We start from the raw sequence: 23,187 nt of genomic DNA, 5'->3' as shown, positions 1-23,187 counted from the left end.
CTCCTAAAAAAGTGGGATGGAGGCCAGGCGCGGTGGCCCATGCCTGTAATCACAGCACTTTGGGAGGCCAAGGCAGGTGGATCACTTGAGGTCGGGAGTTGGAGACCAGCCTGACCAACATGGAGAAACCCCGTCTCTACTAAAAATACAAAAAAATTAGCCAGGCGTGGTGGTGCATGCCTGTAATCCCAGCTACTCAGGAGGCTGAGGTAGGAGAATTGCTTGAACCCGGGAAGTGGAGGTTGTGGTGAGCCGAGATTGTGCCATGGCACTCCAGTCTGGGCAACAAGAGTGAAACTCCATCTCAAAAAAAAAAAAAAAAAAGTGGGATGGATCTACTGGGTGGGTGGTGATAGTGGGGGCATTAATTTATTTGGGAGAATACCTAAGCTTTCAACTCCAACATACAAAGCTTTGGATGTGTTGACAGATGCCAAATACAAAGCAGCTATTTTTTCCATGTTATAATACAGATTGCCCTTAACAGTTTTTCTGTCGTTCGCTTGCAGTATGGAAATAGCAGTTGAAATGAGATGGAAAACTTGGTAACTTTGGTTTCCCAAATGAATCTTATGGGTAAAAGGGCCAAGGTCAGGTTGAGGGGACATATTGGTCACCTTCGGCTAGATAATACCTCATTCCGCAGTAACAGACAACTCCAAAAATCTCAGTGGCTTACCACAGCAAAGGTTTATGTCTCATTCACACTACATCCACTGAGGGTTTGCTGTGCCTGTTCTCTGCCATCTGTGCCGAAAGAACAGCCGCCGTCTGGGATGTGCTGGCCTCACGTCAGCAGGATAACAGCAATGGCAGGACCACGTGCAGGCTCTTAAAGCCTTACATGATTCACCTTCACTCACATTTCATTGGCCACCGCAAGTCAAGTGGTTATTTGTGACATCACTGGGGCAGGAAGAGTGACAATATCAAGGCATATCTGATTGGGAGAGACCAGTGGGAAAGGACAGTAAATATTTGAAACAGTTTATATAGTCTCACACAGGGCCGGTCATTTCTATGTCCTTATATTGTGCTTTGGTTAGAAACCAAAGAGCAAGAGATGAGGTCACTGGCAGCTGCTCAGGGCCTTATGGGGACAGCTCCTTAGCAGATCCCTTTACCCTGGGCTCCTTGGCTCTGTAGCTCCAGCAACCTCATTTATTTGGTCACTCCACTGGCCTAGGTGGGGAGTATTAACATGAAGGTCATGCATGTGATTCAGGACACCACCTTCTAGGCAGCCAAACACTTGGCCATCTCAGGTGATACCCAGAGGTTGCTTGATGAGCAAGGACCAGCTCAGAACCAAGCAGGGAAGGTGGGTGGCTCTGAGGGACATTCCATCCAGGACTTGCTTGACTTTGCTCAGCCAGCCCCAGCTCCTGAGCATATAACAACATGCCTATGTACAGCACAGAGCCTCTTTCTAAGATAATGCTAGACTTGCACTCCACACTCACTCATTCACTCTTTGAGCTCCCCGCTTTCTAGAGGATGTACTGACCCAGCTATCTCTTTTGCTGAGGGCTGAAGTTGCTTTGGTATTCGATTTGGTATGTCCCTAGATCATCTTCCTCCCCAACTGACAGGTGGTTAATTTCATTCACAGCAGGTCTAGAGTTTTCCCTAAAATTTTGGGAATACTTTGCCTCCCCACACTAAACACGTGTTTGTTTAGTGTTGAACTTTGTCACAGCTTGAGTAGGCACAGAGCTGGCGGGGGCATGGCTGGAGGCTGGAACCTAAGACTCTTGAGTTGGAGAGTGGTTAACTTTCAGACCTCTGCTGCTCAACACTGTAGGACCTGGCCAGTTCCCTGAACATCTCAGGGCTCAGTTTCTTCTTTGCAACTTAAAAGTGAGAACCTACCAAGGTTGTTTTGTGTCCCAATTGAGATATGAGAGGACTTCAAAAGCCAGCCTCATGGCATTAGCACAATTGGTGCCACATGGAATGGTACACGTGGGCCAGGTTCCTGAATCGCCGCTGGGATATGTCCAGTTCTACCTACCTGTAACACAAGTATGAACAAACACATCCCAGCAGTGTGTGAGTGTTCCTCTGTACCGTTGGGTTCATTTCTAGATAAACAACCCAGACATGCGAGTGCAGATCCTCAAAGATTACGTCAGGCAGCACTTCCCTGCCACTCCTCTGCTCGATTATGCACTGGAAGTAGAGAAGATTACCACCTCGAAGGTAACAAAGAAAAAACTTCCTAATTCCCTCACGTTGGACAAGTTTATTGGAGGAAACAGGAGCCACGTTACATTTTGATTATGCAGCTAAAAGCAAACCTAGTTTTCTAGAAATGTTATTTTTGTTTCATAACTAAATTTAACAGACATGCACTAAATGTCAACTAGGTGTTGGGTACTTTGCTAGATGCTGGGAATTGAACTGAGTCAGACACAGTGTCGACCAGTGGGGCTGGTAGAAGGTTTTTAAATGATGGTCACAATTCGTAGTAATAGTAGTGACAGTGGAAAATTATGAAGAAAAAATGAGAAATAATGATAAATGCTTTGAATTTTTTTGCCTTCCCAGAAGCCAAATCTTATCCTGAATGTAGATGGTCTCATCGGAGTCGCATTTGTAGACATGCTTAGAAACTGTGGGTCCTTTACTCGGTGAGCATTGTAGCTGTTTTCTTCTTCATTACGTTTGTTGATTTTTGTTGTTTCCTCCAAACTATAAAAGTAATGCATACTCATAATAGAATATTTGAAAAATAAGGAGAGGTATAAAGAAGAAAACAAAAATTGCCTGTAATGCTACCACCCAGAGCACCCCTTTTCTTCTCATTCTTGGGCAGTAGTAGTACTGTCTGTGGGGAGGAGGGCAGTCACGTGAGCCTTTTAAAACTACAAGTTGATGTGTGTTGCAGGGAGGAAGCTGATGAATATATTGACATTGGAGCCCTCAATGGCATCTTTGTGCTGGGAAGGAGTATGGGGTTCATTGGTGAGTCCATTCGTTGTTGTTTTAAGTGTTTTTTTTTAAACCCCACGGTTCAGCTACACCACTTACTCATGGGGTTGAGTTTCTTTTTCTTTCTTTTTTTTTTTTTTTAATTTTCTTTTTGTGGTTCAGTTTCTACAGAAGAAATGTCATATCCTCTTAATCATTGTTCTTAATCTTTCCTTTCTTACTTTAACCTTTCCCCTTATCTTTATCATTGTTCCTTTGTTCTTAGAAATGATTGCTAGCCCAGGAAAATTTTTTTTTTTTTTTTTGAGACTGAGTCTTGCTCTGTCACCAGGCTGGAGTGCAGTGGCGCGGTCTCAGCTCACTGCAACCTCTGCCTCCCGGGTTCAAGCGATTCTCCTGCCTCAGCCTCCCAAGCAGCTGGGACTACAGGCGCATGCCACCACGCCTGGCTAATTTTTTGTATTTTTAGTAGAGACGGGGTTTCACCATGTTAGCCAGGATGGTCTCGATCTCCCAACCTCGTGATCTGCCCACCTCGGCCTCCCAAAGTGCTGGGATTACAGGCGTGAACCACCGTGCCCGGCCTATTTTTATTATTTATTTTATTTTATTTTTTCCCTTTAAAATTTTGTTTTAATTTAAAGGAAAATAGAATCAGATCCAGCAGCTCCCTTGTACAAAGTCCGCCTCATCTACCTATACAGTGGATTTGGACTAAACTTCCCACTGCTTTGTGTCTACTTTTTTTGTGTGTTAGAAAGATTTCCCTTCCTTAGCCTCTTCCTCTCACCAGGCTTATGAAGCTCTAATAAAAAAGATGTGTTTGCTTCATTTTAGGACACTATCTTGATCAGAAGAGGCTGAAGCAGGGGCTGTATCGTCATCCGTGGGATGATATTTCATATGTTCTTCCGGAACACATGAGCATGTAACAGAGCCAGGAACCCTACTGCAGTAAACTGAAGACAAGATCTCTTCCCCCAAGAAAAAGTGTACAGACAGCTGGCAGTGGAGCCTGCTTTATTTAGCAGGGGCCTGGAATGTAAACAGCCACTGGGGTACAGGCACCGAAGACCAACATCCACAGGCTAACACCCCTTCAGTCCACACAAAGAAGCTTCATATTTTTTTTATAAGCATAGAAATAAAAACCAAGCCAATATTTGTGACTTTGCTCTGCTACCTGCTGTATTTATTATATGGAAGCATCTAAGTACTGTCAGGATGGGGTCTTCCTCATTGTAGGGCGTTAGGATGTTGCTTTCTTTTTCCATTAGTTAAACATTTTTTTCTCCTTTGGAGGAAGGGAATGAAACATTTATGGCCTCAAGATACTATACATTTAAAGCACCCCAATGTCTCTCTTTTTTTTTTTTTACTTCCCTTTCTTCTTCCTTATATAACATGAAGAACATTGTATTAATCTGATTTTTAAAGATCTTTTTGTATGTTACGTGTTAAGGGCTTGTTTGGTATCCCACTGAAATGTTCTGTGTTGCAGACCAGAGTCTGTTTATGTCAGGGGGATGGGGCCATTGCATCCTTAGCCATTGTCACAAAATATGTGGAGTAGTAACTTAATATGTAAAGTTGTAACATACATACATTTAAAATGGAAATGCAGAAAGCTGTGAAATGTCTTGTGTCTTATGTTCTCTGTATTTATGCAGCTGATTTGTCTGTCTGTAACTGAAGTGTGGGTCCAAGGACTCCTAACTACTTTGCATCTGTAATCCACAAAGATTCTGGGCAGCTGCCACCTCAGTCTCTTCTCTGTATTATCATAGTCTGGTTTAAATAAACTATATAGTAACAATGAAGGCATACTGCTGGCTCCTGGCATCCATATCCTTTGATCTGTATTCCTTTGTAACTGTACTTTTTTCCAGACAGGGTATCACTCTGTCGCCCCAGGGCTGGAGTACAGTGGCACCATCACAGCTCACTGCAGCCTCCATCTCCTGGGCTCAAGCAGTCCTCCCACTCCAGCCTCCCAAGTAGCTGGGACTACAGGAGCATGCCACCACTCCAGGCTAACTTTTGTATTTTTTGTGGAGATAAGGTTCTGCTGTATTTCCCAGGCTCTTCTGGAACTCATGGACTCAAGCAATCCATCCTCCTTGGCCTCCCAAAGTGCTGTTACAGGCGTGAGCCACTGTGCCTGGCCTGGCCTGAACTGTACTAATAGTTTCAGTATATATGGTTTTAAAAATGCTCATCTACGGTCAGGCGTGGTGGCTCATGCCTGTAATCCCAGCACTTTGGGAGGCTGAGGCGGGTGGATCACGAGGTCAGCAGATCGAGACCATCCTGGCTAACACGGTGAAACCCCGTCTCTATTAAAAATACAAAAACTTAGCCAGGCATGGTGGCGGGCGCCTGTAGTCCCAGCTACTCCGGAGGCTGAGGCAGGAGAATGGCGTGAACCCGGGAGGCGGAGGTTGCAGTGAGCCGAGACCCGCGCCACTGCACTCCAGCCTGGGCGACAGAGCGAGACTCCGTCTCAAAAAAAAAAAAAAAAAAAAAATTAGCCTGGAGTGGTGGCGGGCGCCTGTAGTCCCAGCTACTCGGGAGGCTGAGGCACAAGAATCGCTTGAACCCGGGCGGCGGAGGTTGCAATAAGCGAAGAGCGCGCCACTGCACTCCAGCCTGGGCGACAGAGCGAGACTCCGTCTCAAAAAAAAAAAAAAAAAAAAAATTAGCCTGGAGTGGTGGCGGGCGCCTGTAGTCCCAGCTACTCGGGAGGCTGAGGCACAAGAATCGCTTGAACCCGGGCAGCGGAGGTTGCAATAAGCGAAGAGCGCGCCACTGCACTCCAGCCTGGGCGACAGAGCGAGACTCCGTCTCAAAAAAAAAAAAAACAAAAAACCCAAAACAAAACAAAAACAAAAAGAAACAAAAAAAAAAACGGATAACGAGTAACTCATTCATCCCTCATCCACTTAGCTGGGGCTAGATCTTATAAAAATCCTGTATTGCCACTCAAGGCTTTAACAACAGGTGATGGTCTAAGGTGGCTTTACTCGACAAAATGACTGCAGAGAGCATGCTACCCACTAAGGAAAGGAAGCGAGCCATACTCGCACCGACGCCCTGGGGGTAGGCCTGGGGCGAAGTCTTCTGGACTGGGCGACTGTTACTGACGGACCTCACCAAGGCAGGCAGAGCTGCTGGAGGCGAGGCGGCGCTGCTGGAGGCGAGGCGGCGCTGCTGGAGGCGAGGCGGCGCTGCTGGAGGCGAGGCGGCGCATGTGCGGCCGGCGGGCGACCTGGCCCCGCCCCGCGCGCACTATTTAATCCCAGAATCCCTCTGTGTCGTACCAACAGCCGCATCGTTCCGAGGCTGTGGAGGCCGGGCGCAGCGGCGTCAAGATGGCGGCTGCGGCAGTGGCGGCGGCGGCGGCGGCGGCCGCGGCTGCATCTCTTCAGGTACTGGAGATGGAGAGCATGGAGACGGCCGCCGCCGGCTCGGCAGGACTGGCCGCCGAGGTCCGAGGCAGCGGCACGGTGGACTTCGGGCCTGGGCCGGGGATCTCTGCAATGGAGGCGAGCGGGGGCGATCCGGGCCCAGAAGCCGAGGATTTCGAGTGCAGCTCTCACTGCTCAGAGCTGTCCTGGCGGCAGAACGAGCAGCGGCGCCAGGGCCTCTTCTGCGACATTACCCTGTGCTTCGGCGGGGCTGGAGGCCGCGAGTTCCGGGCCCACCGCTCGGTACTGGCTGCCGCCACCGAGTACTTCACGCCCCTGCTCTCGGGCCAGTTTTCCGAGTCCCGCTCGGGACGGGTGGAGATGCGCAAGTGGAGCTCCGAGCCGGGGCCCGAACCCGACACAGTGGAAGCCGTAATCGAGTACATGTACACCGGGCGCATCCGCGTCAGCACGGGCAGCGTGCACGAGGTGCTGGAGTTGGCCGACAGGTAGGCGAGGGAGGCGGGAGCGCGGAGGGCGGCGGGCGCGGAGAGGGGGAGATGCTCGCTGGCGGAGGGGAGGGCAGTGCCTGCCACGGCAGCTCGCGAGTCCTGAGTGAATGCATTGGTTTCACACTCGCTGAGCGCCTGCTTGGGGGCAGCCACCGCGGTGGGCGAGGAGGATGCACCATCAGGTCCGGCGAGGGCGCCCCGCGCCCAAGGAGCTCAGATACTAGGTGATGGGACAAAAGTGATGAAAAGGAAAGTCAGTATGTGGTAACTGTTGTGCTGACGTTCAAAAGGAATGAAAGGCTAGGGATTGAATAAAGATCTTTCTGAAGAGGTGAAGTTTAGATCGACCTCTGAATGTCAAAAAATAACTGACCGTGCAAAGATGGGGAATGAATATTCCAGACAGCGCAAACGCCCTCAGGCAGGATCCAGTTTGGCTTAGAGAAGAGAATTAAAATATAGTCCAGTGAGGCTGGATCTAGTGGATGAAGGGGAGAAGGATGCGTGAGATGCGTTGGAATAAGGAGTTTGGATTTCACTAAGTGTGATAGGAAGCTGGGTAAAGAAATAGCTCATTTAAATATTTTAATATTATTCTGCCACTGTGTTAAACGGATTGTAGGGAGCAGGAATGCTCCAGAGACTGGTTAGAAGGCAGGTAATACCGTTTATAGAGATGGAGAGGCGTTTGTTTTGGCAATTATCATCTTACAGATACATTAACAAAAATGCCTATTGAGCGCCTATTACGCATCAGCTCAGATGCGGGATTCTAAGGTGCTAGGGTTTCAGCAGTGATCAAAACAGACAAAAGTCCTTTTCCTTATCGCACTTAGGTTGGTAGATGGACGGTAAATAAGTAAAATGTATAGCCTGTTGGATGATTGTTAAATGTATAGCCTGTTGGATGATTGTCATCACTGATGAAAAATAAAGCATGGGGGGAGTACATAGAAACTGCTGGGGGAGAGGAAGTGTTTTCCAAATTGGGTGGATAGAGAATGCCCTATGAAGAAGACGTTTTGCTAAGAACCGAAGGAGGTAAGGTAGACTGTGTCAGGTAGGGGACACAGGTACAGAGGCTCTGAGGTGGAGCTTGTATGTTAGAGAACAGTGGGGAGCCAGTGTGGCTGTATCAAAGGGATGCAGGATGAGAGGAACAGGAGAAGCCCCAGGATGGTAATGGGCAGGGATCCAGATCCCGTAGGGCCTTGATGGCCTGTGGAAGGACATGAGCTTTTACTCTGATTGAAATGGGAAGGTTTGGGGCAGAGGAATGATGCAGTCTGATTTGATGAATAGTGCTGTGCTGAAAAAAGGATGTGGCGGCCAGGCGCGGTGGCCCACGCCTGTAATCTCAGCACTTTGAGAGGCCGAGGTGGGTGGATGCTTGAGGTCAGGAGTTCGAGACCAGCCTGGCCAACATTGTGAAACCCCTGTCTCTACTAAACGTACAAAAATTAGCCGGGCGTGGTGGTGTGCCTGTAATCCCAGCTGTTGGGGAGGCTGAGACACAAGAATCGCTTGAGCCTGGGAGGTGGGAGGCTGAGGTTGCAGTAAGCTGAGATTGCGCCGCTCTACTCCAGCCTGGCGGACAGAACAAGACTCTGTCTCAAAAAAAAAAAAAAAAAAGAACAAAGGATGTGGCATTGGGGAGGAGGGGGCACCAAGGGCAGACGCAGAGAGACTAGTGTAGGAGGTTGTGGCAGTGGTGGTGGAGGCTTCGATTGAGGAGGGAGAAGTAAAGGTGATGAGAACTGCTCTGGTTCCAGATATATTTTGAAAGTGGATGAGATGAATTTGCTGATGGATTTGACGTGGGGTATAAGGGAAAAGACTGCTACCTTTTTGACCCAAGCAATGGGAAGGATGGAATTATTAAGATGTGGAAGATTGCAGAAGAGCCTGTTTGGGAGTAAGATCAGGAGTTTTTGGATTTGGTTAAGGAGATCCCTGGGAAGTGCATGGGAGCTAGAGATACAGATTGGGGAAAATTACCGTATAAATGGTAACTAAAGCCTTGGGGCTGGATGGTATTACTTAAGGAGTATACATAGAAAAGGGGCAGCGGGGAGAGAGTAGGCAAGACTGAGCCCTGGGGTTCTCTAGAATGTAAAATAGCCGGCTGGGCGAAGTGGCTCACGCCTGTAATCTCAGCACTTTGAGAGGCCGAGGCAGATGGATCACTTGACCAGCCTGGCCAACATGATGAAACCCCATCTCCACTAAAAATACAAAAATTAGGCCGGGCGCGGTGGCTCACGCCAGTAATCCTAGCACTTTGGGAGGCCGAGGTGGGCAGATCACGAGGTCAGGAGATCGAGACTATCCTAGCTAACATGATGAAACCCCGTCTCTACTAAAAATACAAAAAAAAAAAAAATTAGCCAGGCATGGTGGCGGGTGCCTGTAGTCCCAGGTACTCAGGAGGCTGAGGCAGGAGAATGGCGTGAACCCAGGAGGCAGAGGTTGCAGTGAGCTGAGGTCGTGCCACTGCACTCCAGCCTAGGCAACAGAGTGAGACTCCATCTCAAAAAAAAAAATAAATAAATACAAAAATACAAAAATTAGCAGGGCGTGGTGGCAGGTGCCTGTAATCCCAACTACTCAGGAGGCTGAGGCAGGAGAATTGCTTGAACCCGGGAGGTGGAGATTGCAGTGAGCTGAGATTACGCCACTGCACCCCAGCCTGGGCAACAGAGTGAGAGACTGGATCTCAAAAAAAAAAAAGAATCTTAAAGAGGAGACTGATCTCATGGAAACGTAGAAAAGAAGGATATCAAGGAGGGAGTAGCCAGTCGTGTCAACTCTGTCAACCCATTAGTGATGGTTGCAGGTCAGAGATGCCATTGACAAGAGCTGTTAAGCCTTGCTTTATAAAGAGGATCAGAAACGTGTAAATGTTTTGGGGGACAATCCCACCAAGGTAAAAGATACTAGAGCATGTCTGTGTGCTGCTGAAAATGATTCAGTAGAAGATGAGTAATTGGTGTTACAGGAGCAGGGGAATAATTGCAGGAGTAAAGTCCTTGCAACCAAGAAGGGAACTGTCGGGATGGAAGAGGGGTGATCCCTTTCCTCCCTCTCATAAAGGGGTCACAGCTGACATTCTTTTTTTTTTTTTTTTTTTTTTTTTGAGACAAGAGTCTCGCTCTGTTTCCCAGGCTGGAGTGCAATGTCGCAATCTCGGCTCACTGCAACCTCTGCCTGCCGGGTTCAAGCGATTTTCCTGCCTCAGCCTCCCAAGTAGCTGAGATTACAGGCATCTGCCAGCACGCTCGGCTAATTTTTGTATTTTTAGTAGAGATGGGGTTTCACTGTATCGGCCAGGCTGGTCTCGAACTCCTGACCCGCCTTGGCCTCCCAAAGTGCTGGGATTACAGGCGTGAGCCACCGCACCTGGCCACAGCTGACATTCTTATAATAAAAGACAGGTTATATAGGACAGAGAAAAGCATAGCAGATTATTACAGGCACATTTGTGCTCGAGAGTCATACAAAATATGAAAACTCTAAGGGTGACTGAAGTTTTTATACCATCCTGTGGTTATAGAAAGGAATAGGGGCTTGGAATGCATCAAGACAGGTTATGGGAGAGCCAGGAGAGGAAAGCCTGGCAAGCACAGGCTGTCCTGTTATGCAGGTGAAACCTCACGGGCAGCAGCTGTCAGAAAAAATGGATGTAGCCTGTGGGAAAAGTTTCTGTCAGATCTTTAAAGTGTCAGACCTTAGCCTCCTTAGTTTTTCCTGTGAGTGCGTCTTTCCTCGATCTGAGTAAGGGGAGGCCTCAGAGAAAGCCTGTTTGCATCCCTGTTTTCCTTGCTGTTTACCTCATTAATGTAGATTTTCTCTACAGATGCAAATCGCCCCCACAAAAGACAGCTCTTCAAAGCTATTCCTGTGGTTTCGGCCCCTCTGAATATGTCAAATGAGTATATTTTGGGGTGAAATATTCTGGTTATTCTTCAGTGTAGAATCCATATTAAAATTGGAATGGTTGGACTGCAAAGTATAGGGTACAACTGCTGGTGGATTGGGTGGTGGGAAGATGAAGTTCCTGCTTGATTGTCTCTGTTTTCTCAAGAGGCTGGGTCATCAATGAGAAGGTGGAGTGGGATGGGCATAGCTCTGAGGGAGAGAGGTTTGTTGCATGAAAATGGGTGGAAAAGGGTCATTGCACTCACTCAAACCTAGGTTTGATTCTGTCATATCATCTTGAGTTTGTCAGATTTGCTCCTGCTCTATTGGGGAGTTAGAGGAGAGGAGACGATACTCTGGGCATTTTACTAAAAACTCTTAACTTCTCTCCATCTGTCAGCAGCTAAGCCAATGGCTTTTGTCAGGCACTGTTCAAAGTGCCCTGCAACCATCACATTTAATCTTCCCATCAGCTCTGAGGCAGGACCCGCCCCCACCCCCCCCAAAACCCCTAAGTACATATGTCTGTTGATGATCATGCCTGCCTCACTGGGCATTTGTAAGGATCAGAAATATAATAATAGGATGTGCACAATGCCCCTCACATGACAGATGCCAAGTGTATGACAGCTATTTTCATAGAGCATTGCTTCCAGACACTTAAGGGAATTTGTCTCCAAATTACCTGGAGTGCCTGCTAAAACTAGGAGCCCAGGGCAGCCTGGGAATCAGGTGACACTGGCACCCAGACATGTCTGGGAGCCACTATATCCCATACCACTCTACTTTGTCTTTGCTTTATCTCTAAAATGATATGTTCTCTTAAAAGAGTGAAGGGAGCCTGCCTTATTGATTTTCATATCATAGTTAAGAGAGTTACTAAGCACAGTCACTAATAACAAACGGTTACTGAATTGCGAGAGGCCTGAATTGATGAAGTGATTCTTAATCTTGTTTAAGGTTCTTCTCGGTTCTGGGGACTTAGTCTTTTTAAAGCAGTGGTCTCAAATTGGCTATCCTCAGGCTGATTGCTGCCAGATTTATGAATTTGTCTGAAACGATTGTGGTTTTTTTAAATTAAACTTTAAATGGATTTAGGTGAGCAGACAATATCTAGTCAGCTACATGCCAGATCACTTTCTTTTGTTTTTTAACCTACACATGCTTTGTACTATGTCGCCCAGGATGGAGTGCAGTGGCGTGATCTCAGCTCACTGCAACCTCTGACCCCAGGTTCAGGCAATTCTTATGCCTCAGGCTCCTGAGTAGCTGGGATAACAGATGCACGCCACCACGCCCAGCTAATTTTTGTTGTTGTTGTTTTGTTTTTTGTTTTTTGTTTTTTTGAGATAGCATCTCATTCTGTCGCTGGAGTGCAGTGGCATGATCTCGGCTTACTGCAACCTCCACCTCCCGGGTTCAAGCGATTCTCCTGCCTCAGCCTCCTGAGTAGCTAGGATTATAGGTACCTGCCACCACGCCCAGCTAATTTTTTGTATTTTTAGTAGAGACGGGGTTTCATCATGTTGGCCAGGGTGGTCTCGAACTCCTGACCTCAGGTGATCCACCCACCTCAGCCTCCCAAAGTGTTGGGATTATAGGCCTGAGCCACTGCACCTGGCCTGAACCACTGCGCCCAACCCTACACAATTTTTTTGTTGTGTTTTTGTTTTGTTTTCTGCTTCTTCAGATGTTTGAGTTTGCTTTGCATCCCTGCTTTGATGAGAACCCAATTCAGGACAAATCTTCTCAGTACCCCATCCCCTCTGGCTGCCCAAAGAAAAAGCTCTGGTGACGAGATTAAAACCTCTGACACAGGGAGTATATATTCAGGGCAACTTGAATCTATGATCCTGGAGAAAAATTTAAAAATGAAATAAAACCTCTAGCAGAAAGCCTAAATCTGAGTAAGGGGGGCGTTCCTTCTGATATCTGACTGAGCAGATCCCCAAAGAAGTTCCTGCCTGGCTGTTACTTTATACCATAAAGTCCCTTCACTTAGACCCTGTTTCATTTAAGAGGAGGCTGGTGGGCTGGGCATGGTGGCTCACACCTGTAATCTCAGCACTAAAGTGGGCAGATTGCTTGAGCTCAGGAGTTTAAGACCAGTCTGGCCAACATGGCAAAACCTTGTCTCTACAAAAAAATACAAAAAAAAAAATTATCTGGGTGGCCAGGCACAGTGGCTCACGCCTGTAATCCCAGCACTTTGGGTGGCCGAGGTGGGTGGATCACCTGAGGTGAAGAGTTCGAGCCCAGCCTGGCCAACATGATGAAACCCTGTCTCTACTAAAAATACAAAAATTTAGCTGGGTGTGGTGGCAGGTGCCTATAATCCTAGCTGCTCGGGAGGCTGAGGCAGGAGAATCGCTTGAACCCGGGAGGCGGAGGTTGCAGTGAGCCAAGATTGTGCCATTGCACTCCAGCCTGGGCAATAAGAGCGAAACTCCATCTCGGGGAGAAAAACAACAACAACAACAACAACAACAACAACAAAAAATATATATATATATATCTGGGTTTGGTGGCATGTTCCTGTAGTCCCAGCAACTTGGGAAGTTAAGGTGGGGGAATCACTTGAGCCCTAGAGGTCGAGGCTGCAGTGAGCCATGATTGCACCACTGCACTCCAGCCTGGGTAACGGTGAGAATCTGATCTGTCTCAAAAAAAAAAAAAAAAAAAAAAAGAGGCTGGTGACTAGCAAGGAATTAGGAAAGGATGGCAAAGACAAGTTTGGATAGGGATTTGCCTTTGCCAAGGACAAATTAAAGTGAAAATAAAGTGTGTGGCCGGGCGTGGTGGCTCACGCCTGTAACCCCAGCACTTTGGGAGGGCGAGGCAAGTGGGTCACCTGAGGTCAGGAGTTTGAGACCAGCCTGGCTAACATAGTGAAACCCTATTTCTACTAAAAATACAACAAATTAGCCAGATGTGGTGGCGCGCGCCTGTAATCCCAGCTACTCGGGAGGCTGAGGCAGGAGAATCGCTTGAACCCAGGAGGCAGAGGTTGCAGTGAGCAGAGATCGCGCCAGTGTACTCCAGCTTGGGCAGCAAGAGTGAAACACCGTCTCTAAACAAAAGAGAAGAAAAACCTCCAGCCAGACACAGTAGCATGTGCCTGTAGTCCCTGCTACTCTGGAAGCTGAGGCAGAAGGATTGCTTGAGCCCAGGAGTTTGGGGCTGTAGCGCACTGTGATCGCACCTGTGAACAGCCACTGCAGCATAGCAAAACCCTGTCTCTTAAAATAAAAACTCTATTTTGTGTTTTTATATATGTATATGTGTGTATATATGTATGTATTTCACATATATGATAGGTAATTATATAAACTAATATAAATAATACTTTATATTTTATATATAAATAAGATTTTTATATATGCTTTTTTTTTTTTCTTGAGACAGAGTCTTGCTGTGTTGCCTAGGCTGGAGTACAGTGGTGCGATCCTGGCTCACTGCAACCACTGCCTCCTGGGTTCAAGCCATTCTCCTGCCTCAGCCTCTGGAGTAGCTGGGATTACAGGTGCCCGCCACCATGCCCAGCTAATTTTTTTGTATTTTTAGTAGAGACAAGGTTTCACCATGTTGGCCAGGCTGCTTTCGAACTCCTGACCTCATGGTCCACCCGCCTTGGCCTCCCAAAGTGCTGGGATTACAGGCGTGAGCCACTGCGCCCGGCCTGTATACGCTTTTTTTTAAAGAGACAGTCTTGCTATGTTGCCCAGGCTGGAGTGCAGTGGCTATTCACAGGCACGATTATAGCTTACTGCAGCCTTGAACTCCTGACCTCAGCCAATCCTCTTGCCTAAGCCCCCTGAGTAGTTGAGACTACAGGCATGCATCTCCCTGCCCAGCTCTATATGTGCTTTTTATTTTTATTTTTTTGAGACAGAATCTCGCTCTGTCACCCAACCTGGAGTGCAGTGGCGCAATCTCAGCTCCCTATAACCTCTGCCTCCCAGATTCAAGTGATTCTCCTGCCTCAGCCTCCCGAGTAGCTGGGATTACAGGTGCCCACCACCATGCCCAGCTAATTTTTGTATTTTTATTAGAGACAAGGTTTCACCATGTTGTTGGCCAGCCTGGTCTCAAACTCCTGACTTCAAGTGATCTGCCTGCCTCAGCCTCCCAAAGTGCTGGGATTACAGGTGTGAGCCACTGCGCCCAGCCATGTGCCTTTTTTTTAAAGAGACTTGGTTTTGCCATGTTTCCCAGGCTGGTCTTGAACTCCTGGCTCAAGCGACCCTCAGCTTCCCAAAGTGCTGGGATTATAGGTGTGAGCCCCCATGCCCAGCGTATATGTGCTTTTAAACATACTTTGCCAGCACAATATTTTCTAATTTGGTGGTGTTTTTTGTTGTTGTTGTTGTTGTTGCTGTTGTTTTCAGATTTTGTGTGTAAAGTGAGATTAATCTAACTATTTCCATATGTATAATTTAGATGCTCTCGAAATGTGACCATAGGCTGGGTGTGGTGGCTCACACCTGTAATCCCAAACACTTTGGGAAGCAGAGGCAGGAGGATTGCTTAAAGCAAGGAGTTCAAGACCAGTGTAGACAATATAGTGAGACCCCATCTCTACAAAAAAATAATAATTTTTTTAAATGTAGGCCATGGCCAGGCACAGTGGCCCACGCCTGTAATCTCAGCACTTTGAGAGGCTGAGGTGGGTGGATGCTTGAGGTCAGGAGTTCGAGACCAGCCTGGCCAACATGGTGAAACCCCATCTCTACTAAAAATACAAAAATTAGCTGGGTGTGGTGGCACACGCCTGTAATCCCAGCTACTTGGGAGGCTGAGGAAGGAGAATTGCATGAGCCTGGGAGAAGGGTGTCGCCGTGAGCCAAGATTGTGCCACTGCACACCAGCCTGGCCGATAAAGTGAGACTCTGTTTTTTTGGAGTTTTTTTTTGGGGGGGGGATGGTGTAGGCCGGGCATGGCAGCTCACACCTGTAATCCCAGCACTTCGGGAGGCCGAGGGAGGCGGATAACTTTGAAGTCAAGAGTTCGAGACCAGCTTGGCCAATATGGTGAACCCTGTCTGTCTCTACTAAAAGTACAAAAATTAGCTGGGTGTGGTGGCACACGCCTGTAATCCCAGCTACTTGGGAGGCTGAGGCAGGAGAATTGCATGAGCCTGGGAGACGGAGGTTGCCATGAGCCAAGATTGTGCCACTGCACACCAGCCTGGCCGATAAAGTGAGACTCTGTCTCAAAAAAAAAAAAAAATGTAGGCCGGGCACGGCAGCTCACGCCTGTAATCCCAGCACTTTGGGAGGCCAAGGCGGGCGGATCACTTTGAGGTCAGGAGTTTGAGACCAGCCTGGCCAATATGGTGAAACCCTGTCTCTACTAAAAATACAAAAATTAGCTGGACATGGTGGTATGCCCCAACTACTCAGGAAGCTGAGGCAGGAGAATCGCTGGAACCCAGGAGGTAGAGGTTGCAGTGAGCCGAGATCACGCCACTGCACTCCAACCTGGGTGGCAGAGTGAGACCCTGTCTCAAAAAAAAGAAAAAAGTAACCACATAAAATATGCACATTTGAAAAATTAATCTTTTCTCTTTTTCTTGATTTTAGGTTCCTACTCATTCGTTTAAAAGAATTTTGTGGAGAATTTCTCAAGAAAAAACTTCATCTCTCAAATTGTGTGGCAATTCATAGCTTAGCACACATGTACACCCTGAGCCAACTTGCTCTGAAGGCTGCTGATATGATACGGAGAAATTTCCACAAAGTGATTCAGGATGAAGAATTTTATACGTTACCTTTCCATCTCATTAGAGACTGGCTTTCAGATTTGGAAATTACAGTTGATTCTGAAGAGGTTCTCTTTGAAACCGTTTTGAAATGGGTTCAGAGAAATGCTGAAGAGAGAGAGAGATACTTTGAAGAACTTTTTAAATTGCTCAGGTTGTCCCAGATGAAACCTACCTACCTTACTCGACATGTCAAACCAGAGAGGCTGGTAGCCAATAATGAAGTTTGTGTCAAGTTGGTCGCTGACGCAGTGGAGAGACATGCTCTGAGAGCTGAGAATATACAATCTGGCACATGCCAGCACCCCACTTCTCATGTGTCACTATTGCCTCGTTATGGGCAAAACATGGATGTGATCATGGTTATTGGAGGTGTGTCAGAAGGAGGGGACTATTTAAGTGAATGTGTGGGATACTTTGTTGATGAGGACAGATGGGTAAATCTGCCACATATTCATAATCACCTCGATGGACATGCTGTTGCAGTAACAGAATCCTACGTGTATGTTGCTGGATCAATGGAGCCAGGGTTTGCTAAAACTGTAGAAAGGTATAACCCAAATTTGAATACATGGGAACATGTTTGTAGTCTGATGACAAGAAAGCATTCTTTTGGACTAACAGAAGTCAAAGGGAAGCTCTATAGCATTGGAGGACATGGCAACTTTAGTCCTGGTTTTAAAGATGTGACTGTTTATAATCCTGAGCTTGATAAATGGCACAACTTGGAATCGGCACCAAAGATTCTTCGAGATGTCAAAGCACTAGCCATTGAAGACCGGTTTGTATACATTGCCGCCCGCACTCCTGTAGACCGGGACACTGAAGATGGATTAAAGGCTGTAATTACTTGCTATGATACAGAGACTCGACAGTGGCAAGATGTGGAATCTTTGCCGCTTATTGACAATTACTGCTTTTTCCAAATGTCTGTGGTCAATTCAAACTTTTATCAGACAGCATCATGTTGTCCCAAGAGTTATTGTTTAGAAAACGAAGAGGCAGTAAGAAAAATTGCCAGCCAAGTGTCTGATGAGATCCTTGAAAGCTTGCCTCCAGAAGTCCTAAGCATCGAAGGAGCAGCCATTTGCTATTACAAAGATGATGTCTTCATTATAGGAGGCTGGAAAAACAGTGATGATATTGATAAACAGTATCGGAAAGAAGCCTACCGATATTGTGCGGAGAGGAAGAGGTGGATGCTTCTTCCTCCTATGCCACAACCTCGTTGTAGAGCCACTGCTTGTCACGTGAGGATCCCATACCGGTACTTGCATGGCACACAGAGATACCCTATGCCTCAAAACCTGATGTGGCAGAAGGACCGCATCAGACAGATGCAAGAGATACATCGTCACGCCCTGAACATGAGGCGAGTGCCAAGCTCTCAGATTGAATGCTAGGTTCTCTCAAGCGTGCCGATTAAAACTGTTACACCCGTTTCGTGAAGCTGAAGATACCCAGGCTGTTATTTAAAAAAGTATGTCGATAACTTATTTTCTACATGAACTGATTATTACCCCATATAAAGGAAATAGAGTTAAAAACTAAAGAATGGGAGACTCAGTTCAATACATGGTCATTTTGTTAGCTTGCAATTTTTGTCTTTGGTTTGTTTGTTTGTGCTAGCTAAATAAGATCTTATTAAGGACAAGTGGAAAAATCAGGTGTAGTTGCTTAGCTGTTTTCCTGCCAACGAGTTATGACTCCTTTGTCTTGAGGACTTACGTTTTGAACATGCTTTAAGCACCAATTTTATTTGCACATTTACTTTGATATTCTTTTTCATTTTTTATTAAATGATTGGTTTTGGCAAGATCTGACTTCTGCATTGAGCCCTCATCTGCAGGAGGCATGTGCAATAGTGAGACTGAAATTTGAATGAAAACACTCAATATTTCAGCAAGATAATTTGAGAATGTTTGCATTGATATTTTCTTATGTTTATCTAGAAATGCCAGTTTCCTTCCTAGAAGATGTGACTGATGAGAAATTTTTTACTGGCTCATGCATTTTTTGAATATTTTTCATTAGCAGCTGTTTATAGACTTTAAGCCTTCAATCTGAGGTGACGGTAGTTGGCAAAAGTATAGATCTTTAGCTAATTGACTAAATACAGAGCAAGTTACATGTGTGAACTTTGTTTCTCTAAGAAGAAAAGTATTAGTGTAGACTGGGAAATCAAAGGCATTTAAAATTTTTTCAACATTTTTTTCAGGAGTTGCAGGATTATTTGAGGATATGTTAATGAGTGTAAATAATGCCTATGACAATCGACACTCAATGCCTTCCATTTTAATTTTTGCTCTAATGCATATTATATAGAATCTTCATTATTCCTTTTCTCTTTTTTTTTTTTTTTTTGCTCATGTTGCCCAGGCTGGAGTGCAGTGGTGCAATCTCGGCTCACTGCAACCTCTGCCTGCCAGGTTCGAGTGATTCTCTTGCCTCAGCATCCCGAGTAGCTGGGATTACAGGTACCCACCATCACGCCTGGCTAATTTTTGTGCTTTTAGTAGAGACAGGGTTTCACCATGTTGACCAGGCTGGTCTTGAACTCCTGACCTCAGGTGATACGCCCGCCTCAGCCTCCCAAAGTGCTGGGATTACAGGCATGAGCCACCGTGCCCAGTCCATTATTCTTTTCTACAAGAAACTGTTTTTTTCCAAAATGGGAAGGAAGTCACAATTTAGAGAAATGTTGCTAAAGAGAAGCCTTATTATTTCTGATTGTTATATTTTATCCAGTTGCCCCACACTTTCAAACTTTGCCTGAGCCTAGGATACCAAATTTGGGTACATAATTTTGGCTTTTAAAGGTTTATGGGCTGGGCACGGTGGCTCATGACTGTAATCCCAACACTTTGGAGGAGGCTGAGGTGGGCAGATTTTGAGCCCAAGAGTTCAAGACCAGCCTGGGAAACATAGCAAGATCCTGTCTCTACAAAAAGTAGAAAAATTAGCTGAGTGTGGTAGCTGGCACGTGCCTGTAGTCCTTCCTACTTGAAGCCAAGGTGGGAGGATCACCAGAGCCTGGGAAGGTTGAGGCTGAAATGAGCTGTGATCATGCCACTCTACCTTGGGTGACAGAGAGACGGTGTCTCAAATAAAAATTAAAAAGATCACTGAAGCTATCTTTTATTTAGTTTTATACGTTATTCGAATTATCTTATGTCTCCTGAGCTTTATAAAAGTTAGCACTCAAATTGACTTTTTTTTTTTTTTGGGCCAGGGGATGGGGTCCCACTTTGTCACCCAGGTTGGAGTACAGTGGTATGATCTCGGCTCACTACAACCTCCACCTCCTGGATGCAAGCCATCCTGCCACCTCAGCATACGGAGTAGCTGGGACTATGGGCACGCGCCACCACGCCCAGCTAATTTTTTTTTTGTATTTTTGGTAGAGATGGGGTTTCTCCATGTTGCCGAGGCTGGTCTCCAACTCCTGGGCTCAGGAGATCCACCCGTATCAGCCTCCCAGGGTGCTAGGATTAGGTGTGAGCCACCACGCCCGGCCTCAAAATAACTTTTTTTTTTTTTTTTGAAACAGTCACGCTTTGTCGCCCTGGCTGGAGTGCAGTTGCGCAGTCTCAGCTCACTGCAACCTCCACCTCCCGGGTTCATGTGATTCTCCTGCCTCAGCCTGCTGAGTAGCTGGGATTGCAGGTGTGTACCACCACGCCCGGCTAATTTTTGTATTTTTAATAGAGATGGGGTTTCACCATGTTGGTTAGGCTGGTCTCGAACTCCTGACCTCGTGATCCGCCCACCTCAGCCTCTCAAAGCGCTGGGATTACAGGCATGAGCCACCATGCCCAGCCCTCAAATTTACTCTTAATGCTCAGTTAATATAAAGGATTCCTAACAGTTTACAATGTGGTTTTCTTGTTTTTGTTGTTGTTTTGGTTTTTTAAGATGTGAGGTCTCACCTTATTGGCCAGGCTGGTCTCAAGCTCCTTTCCTCAAGCAATCCTCCCACCTTGGCCTCCCAAAGAGCCACCTGTCCAATGATTTATCCTGTTTCTTAAGAACTGTCTTTACCTTCTTAGACATTTTGTCATACCATTCTAGAAGTCAAATTCCAAGTGCAGTGATTTTTTTTTTCCCTAGTCCATTATAGTTAATCTTCTTGTTAGTGATCAAATACCAAAAGAGAAAAGCACAACCAGAAATTTTGGCTATTTGCTGCAAGTTGTAGGTCTTGGGCTCTATACTAAGAACTTGAAATTTTTAAATTAGTATCCCTGCCTAGGTGAAAAGTTTTTAATAAATGTGTTGAAAATCAACTTTAAATCCATTTAATTTAGACTGGAGTGGGCGTGAGAAACTGCAAGTCTATTTCTACATATAAGGATATATTATTATATTGTCCCATCCCACCACTACCTTTTTCTCAATTTCTATTTCTTTGTAGTTATTTTAGTAAAAGCCATTTGGATTCTGAGAAGCACTAATTCTTAGCTGTGATAGGTCTATGCAAGTAAGACAGAATCATTAAATGAAGCTCACTAAATGAAGTTCTCATTTCTCTCCAACAGACTGTGCTAGCAAACTTCGTTTTCTTGATTGTATTTAAATAATTTAGTATCTCACTACGATAATAGTTTTTAACTGGAAGGGTGTGATGTGTTTTTTGTTTTTTGTTCTCAGAGTTGTCTTCTGAGATAATTATTACCAAGTCATTTGTGGGGTTGTGTTTTTTTCACATCATGTGACAGAAATTATAACTCATAAGATTTAGGCATAATCTGGTTTTAAAACCTTGATTGAAACTGTTGTTTTTTAACTTAGCAGGCAGCCTAGGCCATGGCTGAAAAGAAGGGGTAAGTCCTTCATTGCATGATGATGTGTGCAGGTTTTCCTGATTTTCTAATTTTTATTTTTGAATTCACATGTGTAATTTCACATCAATAACTTGTGTTTCTGAAATATCCTAACTAACTTGTTAATAAGGAAAGAAACCAGATTTGCTTAAATCTGTTCAAGGCTGACATTCTGAAATTCTAAACTGGAAATAACTTCCCAGAGTATTTGGAAAGGTTCTAAGTACAAGGATCAGGCCTAAAATAGCTCCTTGGGAAAGAAATTTCCTTTTTGATGAGAAAACTTAAAATATTGTTTTTGGTAATGTAAGCAGTTAAAAACATGACTTTAGAAAGACAGCTTAATGCGTATTCAAGCAAACCTTTGTTTTGTTGCTTTTGCTTTTGTTTGTAGAAGAGAGAGGAAGTTATTATACCAAAAAGTAATAGTATATGTAACTTTGAGTGAGGCTACTTATATCTTAGAATGGGTATCCTTGAACTATATCTACCCCACCATGGCTTAAAAAAATCAGTGGTATATATTGAGAATGTCAGTCATGAGCTTAGTGTTTAAGTAACACATCCCACTTACAGTTGTTTGCATGATTAGTCTTGTGTATCATGATGTTCAACTTTGCTTTTGCTGTGCCAGTTCAAAAATATCTTTTTTGCTAAAAACTCTTAAAATTCATGACATAAGTTTTGTTTTGATCACCCGGTTTTATATAGTATTTCTGGGACCAAAAAATTTAAATATACCTTTTTAATATAAAACAGAAGTTTGAAGCTGGAAAGATAGTGTTTATGGAAGATTTGTGTGCTTTTGTGTTTTTTAAACCCGTCAGGCTGCTGGTAAGGCAGTTTCTAGGGCTCACTTTTCCTCCTTACCTCTTGACTAGTGTAGCATGTGGTATGTTTAAAATATTTCATTTTCTGCTTTGTAATTCTAAAGTCAACACTATACTGTATGTAGACAGGAGAGCTGATTTGTATATTTTAGTTATTTGGTCTAATCAAGCATAACTAAAGGGACTTCTTTTTTGATACTTTTCTCAAATTAAGTTTAAATATAGTATACGGGCCACATTTCATGTCTTTGAAAGTGTTGTACATTACTGTAAACCAAGTACTCTGTCTACACCAGAGGGTGCTTTAACTGCAAAATATTTGAGAAACAATTCAGTCTCTCAAACATTTTGGCACAGTTCATCACTCCAGTTTGTTACTTTCTTGAGAATAGTCCATTTTTTGTTTTTGTTATTGTACCGTATGTTCTGGTCATTGGAAACAGAACAGCTCATAGTTGGGTGATGTAATATAATAACAGTAATATAACCTAGTAGTCATTTTGCTTCAAGTAATTTAATTAGATAGCAAAATCACTGCGGTTTGTTTATTACACTTGTAGGGCTTTTTATCTTACTCAGTGACCATCACTACGAATGTCTTACATTGAAGCACAGACTGCAGAGCACTTGTTAACTTAGTCCTCCTGCATAATGCACTCGTGAAAAGTAGTGCTTGCTAGGTGTTTGAAGATTTTATGATCCGTGTGCTTGGGCTCGTTGAGTTATTTGTAAAATAAACATTTAGTTTGAGTTGATGCAGTAAGTTTTTTGGACTAGTAGTATCCAGGTCCCTACTCTACTGAAAATATAATCTTCACTATCTCCCCTTAACTCAGAGGAGATGTAGCATTTAGAACACCTTGAGACATGACATTGTAAAATAGCTTGTTTTATGTTCCTGAAGCTATCTTGTTCTCTGTTAAAGCTACTAATTGTCTCAGTGTAAGTTTTAAATAAACATATTTCTTTAAAGCTGGTTTGTACTGTGTGACTTTTTTTTC

The 23,187-nt window shown here is 45.1% G+C and overlaps 2 protein-coding genes across 7 annotated transcripts in view, besides 4 other annotated features; both read left to right on the top strand.

The window, feature by feature from the left end:
• The window catches only part of ACLY (ATP citrate lyase), a 63,629-nt gene extending 58,870 nt beyond the window's left edge, over nucleotides 1-4,759 (top strand). For 3 of the 5 annotated variants that reach the window (XM_005257395.2, NM_001303275.1, NM_001303274.1), the window contains 4 exons: nucleotides 2,089-2,202; nucleotides 2,551-2,633; nucleotides 2,891-2,967; nucleotides 3,772-4,759. In XM_005257395.2, coding sequence (XP_005257452.1) covers nucleotides 2,089-2,202; nucleotides 2,551-2,633; nucleotides 2,891-2,967; nucleotides 3,772-3,866 — 369 coding nt within the window. In that variant the 3' untranslated portion in view covers nucleotides 3,867-4,759. The remainder of the gene's footprint in view (nucleotides 1-2,088; nucleotides 2,203-2,550; nucleotides 2,634-2,890; nucleotides 2,968-3,771) is intronic. The other 2 variants (NM_198830.2, NM_001096.3) reach the window with 1 other exon arrangement.
• Nucleotides 5,068-5,568: an enhancer, noted in NCBI's record as "H3K27ac-H3K4me1 hESC enhancer chr17:40022361-40022861 (GRCh37/hg19 assembly coordinates)". NCBI's record gives its function as "activates a minimal SCP1, AML or CMV promoter by ChIP-STARR-seq in primed H9 embryonic stem cells {active_cell/tissue: H9 hESC(primed)}" and the evidence as "EXISTENCE:reporter gene assay evidence [ECO:0000049][PMID:30033119]".
• Nucleotides 5,569-6,069: an enhancer, noted in NCBI's record as "H3K27ac-H3K4me1 hESC enhancer chr17:40021860-40022360 (GRCh37/hg19 assembly coordinates)". NCBI's record gives its function as "activates a minimal SCP1, AML or CMV promoter by ChIP-STARR-seq in primed H9 embryonic stem cells {active_cell/tissue: H9 hESC(primed)}" and the evidence as "EXISTENCE:reporter gene assay evidence [ECO:0000049][PMID:30033119]".
• Nucleotides 6,103-6,292: a silencer, noted in NCBI's record as "silent region_8503". NCBI's record gives its function as "represses an Ori minimal core promoter by ATAC-STARR-seq in GM12878 lymphoblastoid cells {active_cell/tissue: GM12878}" and the evidence as "EXISTENCE:reporter gene assay evidence [ECO:0000049][PMID:35858748]".
• On the top strand, nucleotides 6,253-23,158 carry KLHL11 (kelch like family member 11). 2 transcript variants are annotated; one of them, XR_001752552.3, is made up of 3 exons: nucleotides 6,253-6,850; nucleotides 16,355-18,013; nucleotides 21,325-23,158. XR_001752552.3 is itself a non-coding variant. In NM_018143.3 (2 exons), the coding sequence occupies exons 1-2, from the start codon at nucleotides 6,306-6,308 to the stop codon at nucleotides 17,934-17,936; spliced, it is 2,127 nt and encodes a 708-aa protein (NP_060613.1). In that variant the 5' UTR covers nucleotides 6,253-6,305; the 3' UTR covers nucleotides 17,937-23,158. The 2 variants fall into 2 exon arrangements, 1 of the variants encoding a protein (NP_060613.1); NM_018143.3 differs by having other exon boundaries at nucleotides 16,355-23,158.
• Nucleotides 7,813-8,322: an enhancer, noted in NCBI's record as "H3K4me1 hESC enhancer chr17:40019607-40020116 (GRCh37/hg19 assembly coordinates)". NCBI's record gives its function as "activates a minimal SCP1, AML or CMV promoter by ChIP-STARR-seq in primed H9 embryonic stem cells {active_cell/tissue: H9 hESC(primed)}" and the evidence as "EXISTENCE:reporter gene assay evidence [ECO:0000049][PMID:30033119]".

This window comes from Homo sapiens, chromosome 17, assembly GCF_000001405.40.
Source record: "Homo sapiens chromosome 17, GRCh38.p14 Primary Assembly".
NCBI classification, from domain to species: domain Eukaryota; kingdom Metazoa; phylum Chordata; class Mammalia; order Primates; family Hominidae; genus Homo; species Homo sapiens.
Note: the sequence above shows the minus strand (reverse complement) of the source record. Positions and strands in the feature narration are given on the sequence as shown.